We start from the raw sequence: 18,987 nt of genomic DNA, 5'->3' as shown, positions 1-18,987 counted from the left end.
CCCATACAAGCTCAGGGCCATCTGACTTAATCTTCAATCAATCCTTGAATTCAAAGCATTCAAGATGTGGTCTGGCTGCTTCTAACAGCCTATGTTCAGATATGGGATCAAATAAATGATCTAAAGTGGGAAGTTATATTTAAGGGGGAAGCAGAGCCTACAATTTGGAAAACTTGCAGCCTAGCCATGTGGAAAAGAAAAAGCATTATTGCCAAGGGAACTCAAGCAGGTCATGGAGCAATCACTTGTAAGAGAGATTTAAATAACTAAAAGGGAGCCAACTGTTAATATCCAAGACAATGGGGAAAAGACCTGGAAGGCATTTCAGAGATCGAAGAGGCAGCCATGATCAGTACAGTCCCAGAGGCCTAGCAGGACTGAATGATTTCAGAGGGCAGGCCCAGGGCCCCACTGCTCTACACAGCCTCAGGATACTGCTCCCCATATCCCAGCTGCTCCAGCTCCAGATGCAGCTCAAAGGAGCTCAGGCCTATGCTCCACTATAAAGGGTGCAAGCCATAAGCCTTCATGGCTTCCATGTGGTGTTAAGTCTTCAGGTGCACAGAGTGCAAGAGTGAAGGAGGCTTGGCAGTCTCCAACTAGATTTTAGAGAATTTATGAGAAAGCCTGGGTGGCCAGGCAGAAGCCTGTTGCAGGGGAAGAACTCTCACAGAAAAACTCTACAAGGGCAGTGCCAAGGGGAAGTGTGGGGTTGGAGCCCTCACATAGACTCCCTCACTGCGCACTGCTTAGTGGAGCTATGGGAAAGGGACTGCTGCCTTCCAGATCGCAGAATGGTAGATTCACCAACAGCTTGCAAGCTCAGCATGGAAAAGCCACAGAGGCAGAGCTGCCCAAGGCCATGGGAGCCCACCCCTCACACTAGTGTGCCCTGGATATGGGACATGGAGTCAAAGGAGATTACTTTGGAGTTTTATAATTTAATGACTGCCCTGCTGGGTTCTAGACTTGTGTGGGTACTGTAGACCCTTTCTTTTAGCCCATTTCTCCCTTTTGAAATGGGAATGTTTACCAAATGCCTGTTCCCCCATTGTATCTTGGAAGTAAACAACTTGTTTTTTTTATTTTACAGGCTTGTAGGTGGAAGGGGACTTGCCTTGTCTCAGATGAGACTTTGGACTTTGGACTTTTGAGTGATGCTGAAATGAGTTGAGACCTTTGGGGAACTATTGGAAAAGGATGATGGTATTTTGGAATGTGAGAAGGAAGTGAGATTTGTGGGACCCGGGACAGAATGATATCAACTGGATGTTGTCTCCACCAATCTCACATTGAATTGTAATCCCAGGTATTGGAGGTAGGGCCAGGTGGGAGGTGAGTGGATCATGGGAGCATATCCTTCATGAATGGCTTAGCCCATCTCCTTGGTGGTGAGTTATTGCAAGATCTGGTTGTTTATAAGTATGTGGTACCTCCCCTTCTCCCTTCTTCCTCTCTTGCTCCTTCTCTTGCCATGTGAGATGCCTGCTCCCCCTTCACTTTCTTCCATGATTGTAAGCTTCCTGATGCCTCTCCAGAAGCAGATGCCAGCACTATGCTTCCTGTAGAGCCTGCAGAATCATGAGCCAAGTAAACCTATTTTCTTTATAAATTACCCAGTCTCAGGTATTTTTTATAGCAACGCAAGAACAGCCAACAGGCCTCAAAATAATTCATAACCTACTTCAACTTGGCCTGTCCCCATCCTGATTGTCACTTTAACCATGCAGTAAGACCATAAGATAGTGACAGGAGGTCATCCGGTAAAAGAACTTTCAGTCTGTTCTCCCACCTCAAAAATGCAAACATAACTACATCTTAAAAATTGGATTACTAGGAGATGGTATCATTATAAAACAACAACAAACATTTGTCATTGTAAGTCTTCTCTGGGATACCACTGAATTTTTTCATCCTAGCTTGGAAAAGGTGAGTCGATGCTTTGTGAACCCAGACACGCATAGCAACAAGTGACCTAAACTCAGATCCTGTGCTGATTACTTTACATGAATTATTGTATTTATTTAACAACTTTGAGTTATGAGGCATATTATTAGGTCCATATTACCTGTGACAAAAGCTAAAATTGAAGCCCTAAAGAGCTAAGTAACTTACCCAAGGTCACACAACCAGAAATGATGGAGCTGAGATTTGAACTATGGCATCTTGACAACTGAGCTTAACCACCAGACTATACCGGATTCTGTTTTCTGTTTTATAATCCTAGGTCTTAGAGCTAGAATTTGTCTTTCCAGCAAATATTTATTGATCATACACTATATGTGAGTCACTGCGCTAGTACTGGCAATAACACAGAGAGAGCTCTGTTTTCATGGAGCTGACTTTCTATTTGGATCAACAGATAATAAAAAAATCAAGCATATACATAGTAAAAGGTCAGGTAGTGATAAATGCTATGAATAAAAATAAAGTGGGGTAAGGAGCTCTGGAGGGAAAGTGCTGTATAGATAGGGCAGGGAGGTTGTCATTTAGTTCAATCCTGTGTCTGCAGGTAGGACATATATCATTATCCCCATCCAGTAGATTAGATAAGTGAGGGACTGAAAAGCTAAGTGACTTGCCCAACATCCCAGAGCTGGCAAGAAATAAAGTATAAACTAAAGCCAAACCTCCTACTCTCTACTCCTTTTTTAGTATGCCATATTTAGTTTGTCTAATAATACTTCAACCTGAAATTACACTTCCATAAATGTGCATTTTTAAGCACAGATAATCCCTATGTACTCATTTTTCCTAGTTGGTCCCAATAAAATGAGATCATCTAATAAAAAACAGAGGACAGAGGGGGGAAAAAGACATTTAAAAAAAGAAAATCCTCTGAATTCATGAATAAGAAACTGAAGTGTCCAAAATGAGGTCTCTTGCCATCACTTTTCAGTACCTTGATTAATAGCTGATACCAGGATGTGTTCCATTGCCATACTCATGGATTTGGCTTTTACACTTGGAAATATCCCGGATCTAACACTTCAATTACTAAGGGAAAAATAAAAGCCCCAAAAATCACTACCAGCATGCATAATATCCAATTCTGCTCTCTTATTTGTTTGAGTAATAAACGAATGGAATTTTGGTGACAAGTTGATTGCTGTGCCCTGTGCCATAAGATATGGGCATTCTAATAGGCTGAATTGCAATTATGCGGTTTTGATGTGACAGATATTAATCAGCTTAAACTCTCTGAAGACTTTTTGGAAAACATCACCCAGTAGGGAGAAATAATCCCCATTCTTCTAACTGATTAAATGTCTTTATGGTTATTTTCTTCCCATGCCTGCTTTTTAAAATATTGCCAGGAGAACAGATAATTGACAATTGCAAGTCTCAACTACAAATTGTATCACTTAAACCAAGCAGTGAAAGACTAAACCTACTTGGACCTGATAAATGTCCAAACTTTGGACTGAGCTATTCCTGAACTAGGCATTTGGTTAGCCAAAATCAATTAGTCAATTAACCTGAAAGTATTCCCTATTAAATATCTGCTTTTGCAAAAGTACAAATGTAACACAGATGTCAACTGGGGTGATTCTGCCTTTGAGATTCTGATCAAATTGTTTCAAACCTTATTCTAAATGCAGCAGGGAGCCCAGCAAGCCTCTCAGTATTTCTGGGGACCCTCGGGAGGCTTATGTTTTATATTGACGTCTTTGGCTCCAATTCTATACCAAAATCCTAATGTCTCTCTTCTTGTGGTCATCCCCCTCTCTCTTTTTTATGTCAACTCATTCATGGGATGCAACCCCTTCTTTTTTATTTTGCAAAACGACTACTGACACATGGCCATGGCACATAGCAGACTCTTTACTGAAAATTCTAGGTCACATTGGCTGAGGAGGTGGGATGGTTCTGTATAATGTAGCACACACTAGCAGAAGAGAAATTCCTGCTCCTCTTCTTAAAAGTCCTGCAGCTGTCAAATATCACCATCACTCTATCATGACTACAGAATTTTTTGTCTTCTATTAAGACTCTACATTGTTAACCATACCCACACCCCTAATCTCCTCCTCCTTCTCTCTCCTCCCTACTACACTTGCTCCTATACTCCAAATGTCCCATCTGATTCTCACTGAGAGTCATTCAAGTAAGACTTCTCTTGCTCAGATCATCCTGGCCATAACAGCTTTCTTTACCCAAGCAAAATGGTCAAGCCAAACAATAGCACTTTCCTACAAAAGACATTGTGTGGTCAGCTCTTAAAGCAAGAGGATTTTCTCTTCTCCACCTATGAACAGCTAATATTTCCTATCTTTTCAGAGGATGGAGAAAAGAGCATCTCCTGCCTTTGATCTGCAATCATAGCCCATGATGGTTCTCCTGACCCTTTCTTCAAATCCCCCAATATACTTCGCAATGCTAACGGCTCCACTTCACCAGCCATGGTATTTACATCTTAGTAAGGAAGTGCTACCAATATGAACTGAAGAAAGGCTTATAAACCTCATTTGTTAAGCCCCCTGGCAGGCCCCCAATTCCTGGCAGATTATGTGCCTACAGAAGGCAATGAGAGTAAAAATATCCTCAGACCATATTTTTTTTAGAAACTATTTTCTAATAGTGGTATGTTCCTGATCAGAGCCTGGTTCCCCAATTTTATTTAGATATATTCAGTCAACTCTTTGAGCAGGTGTAAAGGAAATACTTATATTCAATGCTACATAAATTTTTAAAAATCCATGTTATAACTATTTTTATTATAAAAAATATTTTTATTAAAAATTGTCCAAGAGAAAGTTCTAGAATAAAAATACCTTTCTGATTTTAAAAATTGTGTTTATTGTAGAAAATGTTTTTCAGAAAAGAAAAATCAACTGCAATCTCACTACCAACAGATAACCACTATTCATACTTTGGCATATTTTCTATATGTTTGTTTCCTCTGCAATATTTTGACAGATATGAGATCACTGTAATATATAGTTTTGTATTCTCATCTTGGTACTTAATGTCATATATTGAGCATTTTTGCATTCATAAATATTAGTAGTAATGTCTATATATTAATCCACATGTGTATACACTAGTTTATATAACTTCACCTATTGTTCAACACTTTGATTATATTAAATATCAAGTTAACACCATACTAAATCAACTGTTTGATCAGCTATGATAAAAATGTGTATACACACATTTAAGATGTATGTACAAAGCCAATTAAAGCACAACAAAACAACACAATAAGTAATCACATAATTCTTTACGTAATTTATTTAGCCTAGATGTAAAACAAAGTTTTGAAGTTATAGGAAACTAAATTAGTCTGAGTGGTCTGTATGTGAATCTGGGGAACAGGGAGACATCCACCTCTATCCTCAACCCCATCCTTAGTAGTCAATGCCAAAACCATACTGGGCAAGTGTGGGGGTGGGGAGATTCTAATACCCAGAGGAAGAAAATAACACTTTCCAATGGTTCATGTCAACAGCACACCATCCAGGCTGCATGGTTTCCATTCCCCCTACTCGAAGGGCCATAAATGATTCCATGTGTGAACACATAGTAGCTGATTCATGGTGCACTGGGGCCAGCCATAAGCTATATATATGTATATGGTGTTATTTACTCAATTAATCTTTGCCCCCTGAATACAGCGGCAAAGATTCTAATTATTGTTTCCAAAACGACACTCATTAAAATGCCAACAGCCATTCTATTCTTGTCTTCTTTGAGATTCTTTGTTTCGATTATCATTTAAGAGAAAAACCAGCTGCCATGCAGCCTAACATATTGCAGTCAAACCATGCCCAATTCGCCTAATATATCATCATTCTAATGATTCTGTAATTTTTAAAGCTGGAAGATATATGAAATGTTATAGCAGTGACAGCACATTAAAATGGTTCTTCTACCCCTTTCCAAATTCCAGTTCCACCTCCCTATCCAAAGCCCAAATCTCTCTGATGGCTACCGCGAATGTCAAAAATCAGGGTCTACAATACTACCAGAAGTGTGGAAAAGAAACTTGAGTCCCCTTTTCTTCCAAATGCTCTCCAAAGGCTCAACTAGAAGTTCATGGTGAAATTGCAGTCTCTGATAACAACATGTGAGAGATGCTGTCACTGGCTGCTTTTCAAGGGGAATGGTTATTAGAGTCACATTTGGTCTTATAAACTAAGTGAAAAGGATTTGTAAGGAATAAACAGAAAAGCCTGGGAAACAAAAGTTTCCTCCCTCAAAATATAAAGTAGCTTTTTATACAAAGAATTAGGATGTGGACATCTCAGCCTCCCAGCTTTGCCACTTTTGTTCTATTATCTAGTGAAGCAACTGAAAAGGAGCCATAATCTAGAGCTAAATCCCAGATCCCGAAAAGACTACATGAGAATGACTGGCTTGACACACAGGAGCCTGAAGGCCCAACATACTGCAATAGGAAATAGTATGATGATGTAATGCATTGGAACCAGAGGCTCAATAAAATGGGTGCTGTGCTGAATCAAGTGGAGGAAGAAGCTATTAAATTCTAGGACTGTGCAAGGATTCTCCCTTAGCGAGCCCATTCTGAGCATCAGCAGCTCACTCTTCCACATGTCAGCGCCATTGTAACCAGTTGCCTGTCTCCCAAGGGGAACATGACTGGCCAACAAATGCATTATGCCTTTTCTTCTTCCAGAAGTTTCCTTAGTATCAAAAGTCAAAAAACCTGGTAAAAGCTTGCAGAGAACACCACTGCCTTATTGGAATTCCCTGAAAGGGGCCAGTCTTGGTATTTTTCTGAAAGCCAAGCAAAACAGGCAAATCAAAGCAGGGCATACATCCGTCTCCACAATTGCCTCCCTTCCCACTGGCATGCATTTCACCCCAGTTCTGACACCCCTGGTTTATCTCTGATGCCCCCAGCTAATTCTCACACTCCATTGGAAAGGTGGCCTCAAGGGTACTGTTCGTGTCACCATTCAGGAGACTTTTCACCCTTAAACCTGGGACTTTGCCAGACAGACAAACAAAAAAATCTCAGATGAAGCATGAGGGCTGAGGAAGGGATTTGTTTTTCCTTGATGACACGACTCCAGAAGATCACCTAAACAGTATCCTCAAATGATTAATTTCACAGTTCTTTTCTCTGATTTGAGGATAATTCCATAGAAGTGTATTATTTTGTTGTTTTTTAACCTGGGTTCATTTCCCAGCCAGCTCTTCGGAACCCCCTCACCATACTGTTGAATTCTCCCTCTAGCCTCCCATAAACAGAACTACTCAAAGGCCTATCTGGAAGCCTGCCATCCCCCTCTAGCCAGAGGGCCCGGAGGCAGACCTGCAGGCTGGAGCTGGTGCATCCTCTGGAGATGAGGCAGGAAGGGCTGGCCCCTTTTTTGGTGGCAGCTGTTTCAACCTTAGCAGGCAGCTGGCAGCAGCCCCCTTTGAAGCCCCAGCAAAGAACAATGATTCCAACATCCTCTTCAGCAGCCACCAGCTCCATCTCACATCTCCTTCCGGCCCACACTGCTCCTGTCACAGTGATTATGGAGGCAGCAGTTGTGCTGTAATTAGGATCCTCCTGGGCCAGACAATCTCAGTGAGAGCAAGATGCCAGCTGCTCCATCGCCAGCAGCATCTCCTTGGCACCCCGTCCTACTCGGCACTCTTCCTCTCTTCCAAACTCTGTCCTGTCCTCTTGGCCACTGGAATCACCAGCCAGGCTGAGACCAAGCACACAACTTATGCTCTGCCCCGGATTTAAGGTTATTTCTTTTCCTGGCTCACTGAGAGCAACTCCAGCTCAAGACCAGGTAGACAGCAATGGGTAGTCAAGTCATTCCAAGTAACGGCTTTTTCGAAGGTGGGCTTCAGGGATTGCCTAAACAGTTTTTGCTTCAATTCTCTATTTCTTGACTTTATTGTTCACATAGTTCATATATTCCCCTGGCCTTCTGGACACTTTAAATGTTCATGCTTTTCCCAACAATCATGATGCTGGGGTCTTTTCAACTCCAGGATCTTTCAGTTAAGGGTGCAGAGAAGATCACTCATGGATGGCATTGCCCATGGGACAGCCTTCCATGGGCAGGCAGCCTCTGGGGGTACACAGAGTCTCCCCCTCTGGTTTCATATTCCTCCCTCTTCTCTTCCTAGGACTTTGAACGAACAAGAGCCAGGAGATGCTGAAATGGCTCCTACAACTGTTTCCAGATGAAAATGAGGGAGCCCACGTGGCATGTGAGCAATTCTCCTCCTCCATTCTCTGATTCCTGGGACCAGAATAAAAATGCAGTGACAAAAGCTGACTCTCCTATGAGAAACCAGAAGGCCCACAGCCTAGCAAAGCAGGCTGATCTAACTGCGCTGCCCAAGACCCAAGAAATCTTAGTGCCAAGAAGTCTGTTTTCTTACTATCCCCACTTTCATTTTCCCTTCTCATCATTTGTCAAACTTGCCCAAATATAACATTTCTACCTTACAAGGGATAGTGGGTATTTTTAATTCCCATAACCCTCCCTATGGCTCAAAATAAAGGCATTGTAAGAAAGCGGTTCCACATTCGGGCAATGCTTTCCTACTCCCTCTGGCCGACCCACCCAGCTCCATGACTGCCCCACACCAGGAAGAAAGACAGATGATGGGAGAGAAAACACAGGGACATCAGTGAGGTCTGTGTGACCCACAGTACTGGCCAGAGTGAAGGGTGGAGCAATAGGATTTTCAAAGCTCCCCTCCCCTCCCTGGCTTTTCACTTTAATGATCTTTGAGGTGCCTGAGGCAACACTTTCATCCTGGATAGATACAGCAAAGGAGTCTTTGGGAAGCAGAGAAACAGGAAAGGGCGTAAAGAAAGGGCTTGTTGTATTTAAGAAACGGTCATTCAAATAGCTTGCTGCCTGCAGGCTCTGCCATCCCTTCCCTCACTAGGGGAGGAAACTCCCAACAGTTTCCAGTGGACTGAGGAGCAGTTCCCAGACATTGTGGATCAGAACAGATGACACACGAGACGTCCACAGAGCAGCAGATGAGGGGTCATCTCAACCCTGGGCACAGATTAATTGGTGGCAAATTGGTAGTATTGGTAGAGAAGCCTGGAGAGTTATCAAGACCAGAAAAGAGAGACAGGACCAATGACTATGTCAGTACGTGGCCAGTCAGCCAGGGTGGAGGCATGCCCTGAGACCTGTCCTTGGGACCAGGGGGCTAAAGAAATAGCTCAGACTCCTATAAAAGTAGAGCAGGAGAAACCCCATCCCAGCCCAGGGCGATGTGATCTATACATTTGCAAAGGCTGAGAGAAGGAAATGTGACAATATGGTTGCAGAAGGTATTTTCTTTCTTTCTTTTTTTTTTTTGGAGTTTTGCTGTTTTTGCCCAGGCTATAGTGCAATGGCATGATCTCAGCTCACTGCAACCTCCATCTCCCGGGTTCAAGCGATTCTCCTGCCTCAGCCTAGTAGCTGGGTTTACAGGTGCGCGCCACCACACCTGGCTAATTTTCTATTTTTAGTAGAGACGGAGTTTCACCATGTTGGCCAGGCTGGTCTCAAACTCCTGACTTCAGGTGATCCAGCTGCCTCAGCCTCCCAAACTGCTGGGATTACAGGCGTGAGCCACCGTGCCAGGCCGAGAAGGTATTTTTATAGCAAGGATAGCACGACTCTAACACCACGTAATAAGACACTGGAAAAATATGGGCCCCCATAGCTTCTGGTGAAATAGAAGAGTCATTCAATTCAGGCCTTGAATTTATGAAAACCTTGAATGTATTTTAAATAAAACAAAAGTACAGACTCGGGCTAAGGATGAGGTTTGCCTCTAGCCATAAATGAGTGAAGACTGTGTTGAACCCTGACTGTGTGGAAGTATTTTGCCCATGATAATGTAATATTTAGACCTAAATTAATCACTTAACAAACCAGTAGAGACTTAGCTCCTACTTCTTTTGAAGGGCATTCTCAAATAATTTGTTATTTTTTTTCTACTACCAGATTATGGAATGACGCTTCCCTGCCACCACTAGTGCCACCACCACCAGCACCATGTCTGCCAATTAGACACATTGCCCAGTCTAGGTGCCTAGATAGAGACCAAGTCAGTTTATTTACAGTTGCACACGTGGACTTCAAAAAGATCCCAGCCTTATTCAGTCTTTGTCAAATATCCCAGTCTTACAAAATGGATCCTAAACGAAACTCATCCTTTTGGGGTCAGCCAAAAAAAAAAAAAAAAAAAAAAAACCAAACAAACAAACCTGACATTGGCACTGAGCTCAGACTTTGACTTGGCAGATGAATCAGAATGAGACATGTGATTCCCCTCTCCACCTTTTATCCCTCATTCCTTTGCTCCCTCTCTCCTGCTTGCTCCGTCTACTGCATTAGGTTAACAGATTATTATTTCCATGAAAGCAAGCCTGCTCAAAGCTTCAAAAATCTTGCAAGAAATTGTTATTGTGATTCAATCTTTCAGACTTCACAGTGTTAATAATCCCTTTAGACTCATAAAGAGCTTATTGGAACCAGCATTGGAATTAATTGAATTTGTAGTCTCACCAAACACAGACAGCAACTCTATTATTAGTATTCAGATTACTGTGGTAGGTTTTGATAATTTTTACATTCTTTATGTTAAAGGGGCAGTATCAAATTAAAGACAGCAGCCTCAAGCCTGTTCTATGTCCTCATTCATAGTTCTTCCTGTGGTTCAATCAAAAGCAAGATATAAACCATGCATTTACTTAGTGTCTACATGTTTGTTACTAATGGCTCTAAATTAGTAACAATAAAGCCATTTCATAGTTTATTTTTAGGCATTTTTTTGTTCCTATTAGAATTCTTCTCTTTAGGGAAGGCTTACTTTTTATGTCCTAGTTCATTTTTTATTTGGCAATATTTTCCAACTGAACTTCCTTTCCAGATTCTTGTTACTTATATAGTTTGGCTTTCAGAACCTAATAGAAAGATCAGCTTCTCAATGCTAGGGACAGCTTGCACAGATCTTTTTTTTTTTTTGAGATGGAGTCTCGCTCCGTCACCAGGCTGGAGTGCATTGGCGCCATCTCGGCTCACTGCAACCTCTACCTCCAGGGTTCAAGCAATTCTCCTGCCTCAGCCTCCCGAGTAGCTGGGACTACAGGCTTGCGCCACCACACTCAGCTAATTTTTGTATTTTTAATAGAGACAGGGTTTCACCATGTTGGGCAGGATGGTCTCGATCTCTTGACTTCGTGATCCGCCCTCCTCGGCCTCCCAAAATGCTGGGATTACAGGCATGAGCCACTACCCCCGGCCTTGCACAGATATTTCTACTGCAAAATATAACAGAATGGACTTGGAGCAAAAAGACCTACATTGTGGTCCCCACACACCAATAACTACCTGTGTAGCTCCTCAGCATCGGTTTACTGCTTCGAAGAAAAAAAAAAAAAAAAAAAAAAAAGGCCAGTGTGGTGGTTCATACTTATAATCCCCGCACTTTGGGAGGCCCAAGCAGGAGGATCACTTGAGCCCAGGAGTTCAATACCATATTGGACAGCATGGTGTGACCCTGTCTCTACTAAACACACAAAAATTAGCAGGGCATGGTGGTGCACACCTGTGGTCCCACCTACTTGGGAGGCTGAGGTGGAAGCATTGCTTGAGCCTGGGAAGTCGAGGCTGCAGTGAACTAGGGTCGCACCACTGCACTTCAGCCTGAGTGAGAGAGCAAGACCCTGTCTCAAAGAAACAAGAACCCAAAGAGGAGGGCTGATTTCTAACATCACTATCATCTCTGAATTATTTCTAAGTCTCTGCCTTTTATGATTATAATTATATGGTGCTATAAAAGACTTACAAACACCTCTTTCTGTAGTGAATCATAAATAGTTCTGTTTTCTTATTTATTGTACTCCTTATTGCTTTAGGAGGATAAGGAAGACTATCGTCCCCACAATTGCTTGTTTTCTAGCATACTGTCTTTTGGGAAAGATTTTTGCCTTAGAACCTGAATGTGTGTGTGCTCATGTGTGTGTATTTGGTGTGTGGGGTATATTGCCTGTGATGGGTATGTATTTGTACATACCAGGGGAGGAGGTTACAGAGAGAAGAAAAGGAGTACTATTTATAAGCATTTTGTTTAACCACTACTGTCCTAAGCTTCAACAAGTTAAAAAAAAATTTGAGACAATATACATCTTGAGCATAAAAACTATGTCCCATTCTTTATGAGTGCTTCTAGATGGCAAGTAATCATATAAACCGACCAGTCTCATCAATCATTGACTCCTTAGTGAGCATCTGATAAGGGATTGGCCTTAGCAGTAGGTGTTATAAGTAACACCTACTTATACTTACTTACCCTTACTTACTTACTTACCCTTGACAAGTTCATACCCCAGTTGAAGGATACAGAATCAGAATTTTGGGCTTGCAAGAGTTATCAAAGTTCTTCTAGTCCAACCTTTATCCCATGAAATCATTATAAAGATTAATGACAACCCAAAAGAGATCATTTTATAGTAGAAAATCCAGGCACACTCCACAAGACAGGACTCAGAAGACTGGCCATTTATTCCCTCATTCCACCAAATCTGTACTTTGTTTAGAGAGGTTTGTAAAAATGAAAAAGTAATACCCACACTATAACCCCAACTAAAGTTGAAAGAGAGGGCTGATATGCATTGATGAAACACATTCCCTACATTCTCCTTCTCTCAAAAAGCTAAAGATCTTTTTCTACCGCTGGTTGATTTGTTGGGAAGACAGAGGAGAGAAGGGAAGGGTGACTGCGTGGATTGGAGAAACCGCCTCCTCGCTGAGCAATTTCACGTAGTTGCCCTCCCTCTAGTGGTCAAAGTAGAGATGGCAGCTTTCTGGTTCAGTCTTAAAGAGTCCGCCTGGAAGAAGGAATAGGGGTTACCCAACCCCCAAAGTTTTGCCTATCTAATTTGGAACCTCAATGCTAAGTTGTAAAACAAGTTGCCTTACAAAGACTTTTCCTTAATTAGAACATCTTGCTTGTTTATAATGATCATGGCACTTACAAAAGACCATATGTCTTTGAGACGCTGCTTGGCAAGACTTTTCCAATATTTACCAAATCTATTTTGTATCCCATGCTAATAATAGTCCAGTGGGTCCCCAGGCAGAGGGATGGAGACAGAGGACTTCTCGTTTCTTCTATTACTCAGTGTTCTGCCTTCAGAATGTGAAAGACCTCTCAGTTTCTCTGAAAGGACTGAAATAGAGCTCAAAGTTTCCCAAATGCTGTTATTTTGGGAAACGTTTGTTTCAAGGGCTAAATTGTCATCGTTTGACAAATCAACATTGAGCAATGCTCTGCACTTTGTAACACACACACTTTAAACTATTCCTTTAAAAGAAACTTTGAAATGAATGCCAAATCATTGTATCCACAATATAATTACGTTCTTTAGGTGGTAGCTTTTTAGTTCAGGAAGGAACAAGAGAGGTATATTCTGATCTAAGAGGGTGAAATTGATGTCTGGCATTGGTAGCAACTGTTCCGAGGTCACTCAGCTGGACTTTTCCTCACTGTGTAACCCCGACTGTGCTGGGTGTTTAAAAATAAATTGAGAGTGAGTGGATATGCCTACAATATCTGTCATCAACATAACCCCCCAAAAATAAGTAATCATTTTGTTTCATTTTGTTGATGTGGCAATAAAGAATGTGCTCAGTTTATTTTTTCACTCCTTAAGTCTGATTTTGGTCATCCAGGAGACACAGCCACCATCATTCATTTTGGCACAAAGTTATGTGGCAATTTATATAGAGACCTGGGAACTAACTGGTTAGGTTTGATGTTATCCAAGAGATGTTTAATTTATGTGAGTCTTTGAAAGTCAATCAGACATGTTTTTGTGTGCAGGCTACATGTTTTACACTAAGGGTCTCTTTTTTTAGTTGAGTTGTAATGGGGGAAAAAAAAAAGACCCGGAATTCTTTTTCTCAATAGTGATAACTCCACAGTTCTAGGTGGCATAATCCTTTATTGCAACGTATTCTATATAGTTTGAATAACTATTATTACCAAGTCTTTCTCCCTACTTGGGAAATGGTGGCATTATCATCTATTTATGAAGAGCTTTGAAATAGCTCATAGCAACAAGAAATGACCATTGAAAGTAGCTAGCACATATTGACAGCTTAACATGTACCAGCCAGTATTTAAAGGCCTTAGCCCTGTTAACTTATTTATTTCATAAAAGAGGCCTACTATGCAATGACCATTGATATCCCCATTAAACAGAAATGGACCTTCAGTTTCATGAAGGTGTCTCCACAGTATCTCACTAATTATGACAATATTCTTGTGAGACTCTTAAATGCTTCATTTTTTATATTCTTTATTAATAGCTATATTGTATACATATGACACAGGACTATGTTTCTTTTTTAAAAATGTATCTGTCATAGTTGCTGCCTTGAGTTCCTTGAGGGCAGAGTCTGTGTTTTAGTTCTTTAGATTTTCCTGTTATAAATCACTTTATTATGTGCAGTGCATGGCTTTTCTGAATCAAATTTATTTATATGTAAATTTACTACTGAAATTTTGCTAATCACTAGAAAGGTTTGTGCCATAAAGATCCCCTATTTCCAAAGAAGAAAAGAGAATTGCATTGGAAGTTTATGAAATAGCAATTAAATTTAACTTTGAGGGTATAGAACTGCTACCTTCCACTATGAAAATACTTTGGAACAGAGGATACTGAGGGGAAAGAAGTCGGAGAAAGTTCTCTGATGTGACTATGTACTTTTAGAAACAAAAAAAAAACTCAAAGTACATGTTTCAGTGCCAGAAAAATTAATAAAGGTGAACAGCAATCATGAGTCAGCTCCTGAGGGGCCTAGCTGTAACTCTAGGAAATTTGAATTGAAGCAAAACTTAGAGGGGCGACATATCTCTCAGGTTTTAGAGAACACCAAGACATCTATTCCCAGGACATAGAATACTTTGCATGAAATAATTGACTACATATACTATGAGGTTACTGTTATTTTTCAAACCAGTTTCCAAAACTTCAACTTAAGTTTTCTCCAAAGCACAGACATGCACCTACAAACACATCTGCTTCTTTTTTTCTTTTTTTTTTTTTCTTTTTTTTGAGATGGAGTCTGGCTCTGTCACCCAGGCTGGAGTGCAGTGGCCTGATCTCAGCTCACTGCAACCTCCACCTCCCAGGTTTAAGTGATTCTCCTGCCTCAGCCTCTCAAGTAGCTGGGACTACAGGCGCCTGCCACTACGCCGGCTAATTTCTGTATTTTCAGTAGAGACGGAGTTTCACCATGTTGGCCAGGCTGGTCTGGTACTCCTGACCTCAGGTGATCCACCAGCCTCAGCCTCCCAAAGTGCTGGGATTACAGGCATGAGCCACTGCACCTGGCCTGAATAAACCTTTTTGAGCAACTTCTCTAAGAGGGTTCTTGGTTGGAAACCAACCTCAAGGAAGCAAAGTCCTGCCTCCAAAAATGTGGCAGCCTAGGTCCACCAAGACATAAACACTATTGGCACAACATACTATTGAATAGATGTAGGGGTGCAAAGAAGGGAGAGTGTATCTCCAGCTACAAACATCCAGAAGGATTTCATGGAGAAGGTGGGCTAGTAGCTGATCACTGTAAAATGTTTAGAAACTTAAACATGCAAAGTTGGAGGAAGACCTTCCAGACAGAGTTAACCATGTGAGCAAAGGCTCCAATTCACAGACGATAATTTGAGAGTCATAGACAGGAAAAAATAATCCTGCTTGAAAGGGAATAATGGGAAGTGAGAATGGACAAGTAATTTTGGAATCAAGCTGAATGTTTCCATCTATTTGTATAGTGTTCTGTAGCCACTGCTTAAAACAAAGAACAGGCCAGGTGTGGTGGCTCATGCCTGTAATACTAGCACTTTGGGAGGCTGAGGCAGGTGGATCACCTGAGGTCAGGAGTTCAAGACCAGCCTGACCAACATGGCAAAACCCCATGTCAACTAAAAATACAAAAATTATCCAGGCGTGGTGGCATGTGCCTGTAATCCTACCTACCCAGGAGGCTGAGGCAGGAGAATCACTTGAACCCGGGAGGTTGAGGTCGCAGTGAGCCGAGATCATGCCACTGCACTACAGTCTGGGCAACAAAGCAAGACTCCATCTCAAAAAAAAAAAAAAAAAAGAAGAACAAAGTCAGGGTGAAAAAGCCTGATTCAGAAGAAAGCCCATACTGTGCATGCAACAGACGTTCAAATCATTCCAGGAACTAGAGGCAGAACAAAGAAAGAAGTACCTTCCCACACAACTGAAGGGAAAGTTCTGGGGACATTGATACCAGCAAGAAAATTAGGACAAATGCTACATAAGAGCTTGCCACTGTCCCTTGAGAGGTGACAGGAAGACTCAACTAATGGTACCAAGCTTAACTCTAAAGAATTGGATGTAGGCACTTTAAATAGGGAAGCTTTGGCTCTGGAACTATTTCTGAATGACTGCAACTTTATTGGTCCTTGGGGCACAAGGTCCAGAGCCAATCTTTCTATCTGGCCCTGTACAATTACAATGAAGATACTTGTTATTTAGCAATGGCAAAGACTGGTTTTGAGTGAAACTGGTGGGCAGGAGAGTGAGAGCATCTTCCACTGATCAACTGAAGAAATATAACATCAGAACGAGGGATTCACTCCTCTCCGCCTAAAAAAAGCAAAGTTAGTTTTTCACTTGATTTTTAAATAATCTAGAGAAAAATAGCAACAACAACAACAACAACAACAAAAACTAGATGCAATGTGTGAGAGCACAATGAGACCATTAGAAAATTGAGGAGATCCTTGGTTAATGCTTTAGTTTCAGCGCTCATTTTCCTGAAAAATATTGCTTTTCTACTCCTCAAGGTTGTAAAACATTTAATATAAAGAAGAACAAAAGCTTGGCCAAAAAAGATGAACAAGACTTTGAGATCAGTGTGTCCTTTGCATGGTTCCAGCCATAACCACTACTTACTTAAAGTTCACATGGAGTCCACTTAGCTCCATGTATTCTGGAAGACTCTCTCTGGGTTTCAGAAGGGCCGCCTTCATCAATCTGGGATTACTTCCTACACACAGCATTTTGTCACCTTTAATCCTTCGTGTCACGGAGGCACTTGAATTTGGTCTGCAGGTAACGATTCTTGGCTGCTGCCTATGTTTCTATAGTTGTGTTTTCAGCACGAATATTCATTTACGAAGCTCACAGCTATTGCACGCCTACTATGTGCCAGGTACTCAGAGTACTACTTCTTTATTATTTCTTCATTATTCCCACAACCCAAAATTCTACAGATAGGCCTAATGATGTAATTTACAATTGAATTTCAAATTCATCCAAGAAGATGACAGCCATGTTTCAGGTTTTGCTTGAAAGAGGATTTGATTGGGGAAGGTGGGGACACAAAATGAAAAGGGGAGACACGTACACTAAAAGATAAGAACAGCAGCTGTGTCACCATTTGAAACACAAGGAGATTACCTCGTAACAGAATTCTCCAAAGCACTGCATTTTACACCATCTAGCTTCCAGTAAACAAGTCTTGGGAACCTCAGATAAAGTGCTCATCTTATGATTTTCTATTCTAGTGATCATGATATTTTCAAGGATAACACTGAGTTAGCCTGAATTACCTACTATCAAGATAGGCAAGAAAACATACCTTTTCTGGGTCTACACGACATGAAGTAAAACAGAAATTCTAGCAGTGAGCTGCCTGATTAACTGATCAATGAATGGGACCACATCACAGAAAGTTTCAAGGTAAGCCGATTCTTGGCACACATACAATAAACTGATGACTTTCCGTCTTCCTCCTAACAGTCTCAGAGCTAATATTTATCTTAGCCAAGTTTGTTAGTAAATACATCCCCAATGTGGTATTAAGCCTGTCAGTCCAGCTCTCATAAGCTCTGCTAAAAAAAAAAAAAAAAAAAAAAGAACAATCCCAGTTGTTTTTTACTTGTTTCCAAAAAACAAAATCAAGAATTATGAATAATCAAGGAAAAATGGGCAGGCTTCACATGGAACAAAAAAGTGTGGAGCTGTATAAATGGCCAGTGGGTTTAAATATGTTATTAGTAATTGTTAATAAACATTTATTGAATGCCTACCATATATTGCATTGGGAACAAAGAAACATATTTACCTATTTGTTCAGCAGATAAATAATGACACCCATTCATGTCCCAGGCTCTCTGCTATGGTCGACGCTGAGAGACAGGGCACAATTTCTTTCTTTGCAAGGACTTTAAGCTGATTGGAGCCTAGAATATAGAAAACATTCCAATTAACAGAGGAGAGAAATGAGCAATAAATGCTAGAGGGATTCTGGGGTGGGAGGCACCTCAAAGCTCAAAAACCCGAGGATAATTTTTTGTACAACATGAGACTAGAGCTCAGTGGGTGGGCAATCGACCTCACTCTACTCTGACTCGCTTCACCCACTCCCCACTTTACCATGAAAATGAAATATGCTCTTCCTGGAATTTTGCTTTCATCATGCAATGGATTTCAGGGCTCTTCTCTAATTGTCCCCAAATTCTCTGTCAGGGCAACCAGAGCCAAGCAGAACCATGTTGAAGGAAGAATGAGAAACTGACCAGTGAGTGCAAAATGAATGAGGAAGACTTTTGGGCGCATTCATCTGCTTACCCACTTGAACCCATGAGCTCTCTGATGAAAATGAAGGTGAACTGGCTCAAAACATGAATCTAAATTATTTGTAAGCCTCAATCCTGAGGGCTGGATGCCATTTATGCAACTTGGGATTGCAACAAAACTCGAATTACAAATTTCAAAACAATATAAAAATACCAATTGCAAAACATCAGGATAAAGGTTGAAAATCCCCCTGCAAACTTTCCAACAATAGCAAAGCAGAAATAAAAATAATTGAGAAAGAGACCCCCTAAAAATGGATGAAGTAACATCAAGTGGCAGAAAATTTTGAAATGAAAAGTTTAGCAGTAAAAGTAAAATCTGTGAGGACATCTAAACACCATTCCCACCCCTTCCCAATCTCTCTGAGA

The 18,987-nt window shown here is 41.1% G+C and overlaps 1 long non-coding RNA gene across 1 annotated transcript in view; it reads right to left on the bottom strand.

Annotated features, from left to right (window-relative positions):
• Nucleotides 1-18,987, bottom strand: part of MIR548A1HG (MIR548A1 host gene) — a 200,152-nt gene that overhangs the window by 113,702 nt on the left and 67,463 nt on the right. Inside the window, exon 4 of the long non-coding RNA NR_149116.1 lies at nt 18,105-18,222. This is a non-coding gene — a long non-coding RNA (MIR548A1 host gene). The remainder of the gene's footprint in view (nt 1-18,104; nt 18,223-18,987) is intronic.

The sequence above is a fragment of the Homo sapiens genome, chromosome 6 (genome assembly GCF_000001405.40).
Source record: "Homo sapiens chromosome 6, GRCh38.p14 Primary Assembly".
NCBI classification, from domain to species: Eukaryota; Metazoa; Chordata; class Mammalia; order Primates; family Hominidae; genus Homo; species Homo sapiens.
The sequence above is the reverse complement of the archived record's forward strand: the minus strand, read 5'-3'. Positions and strand labels throughout refer to the sequence as shown.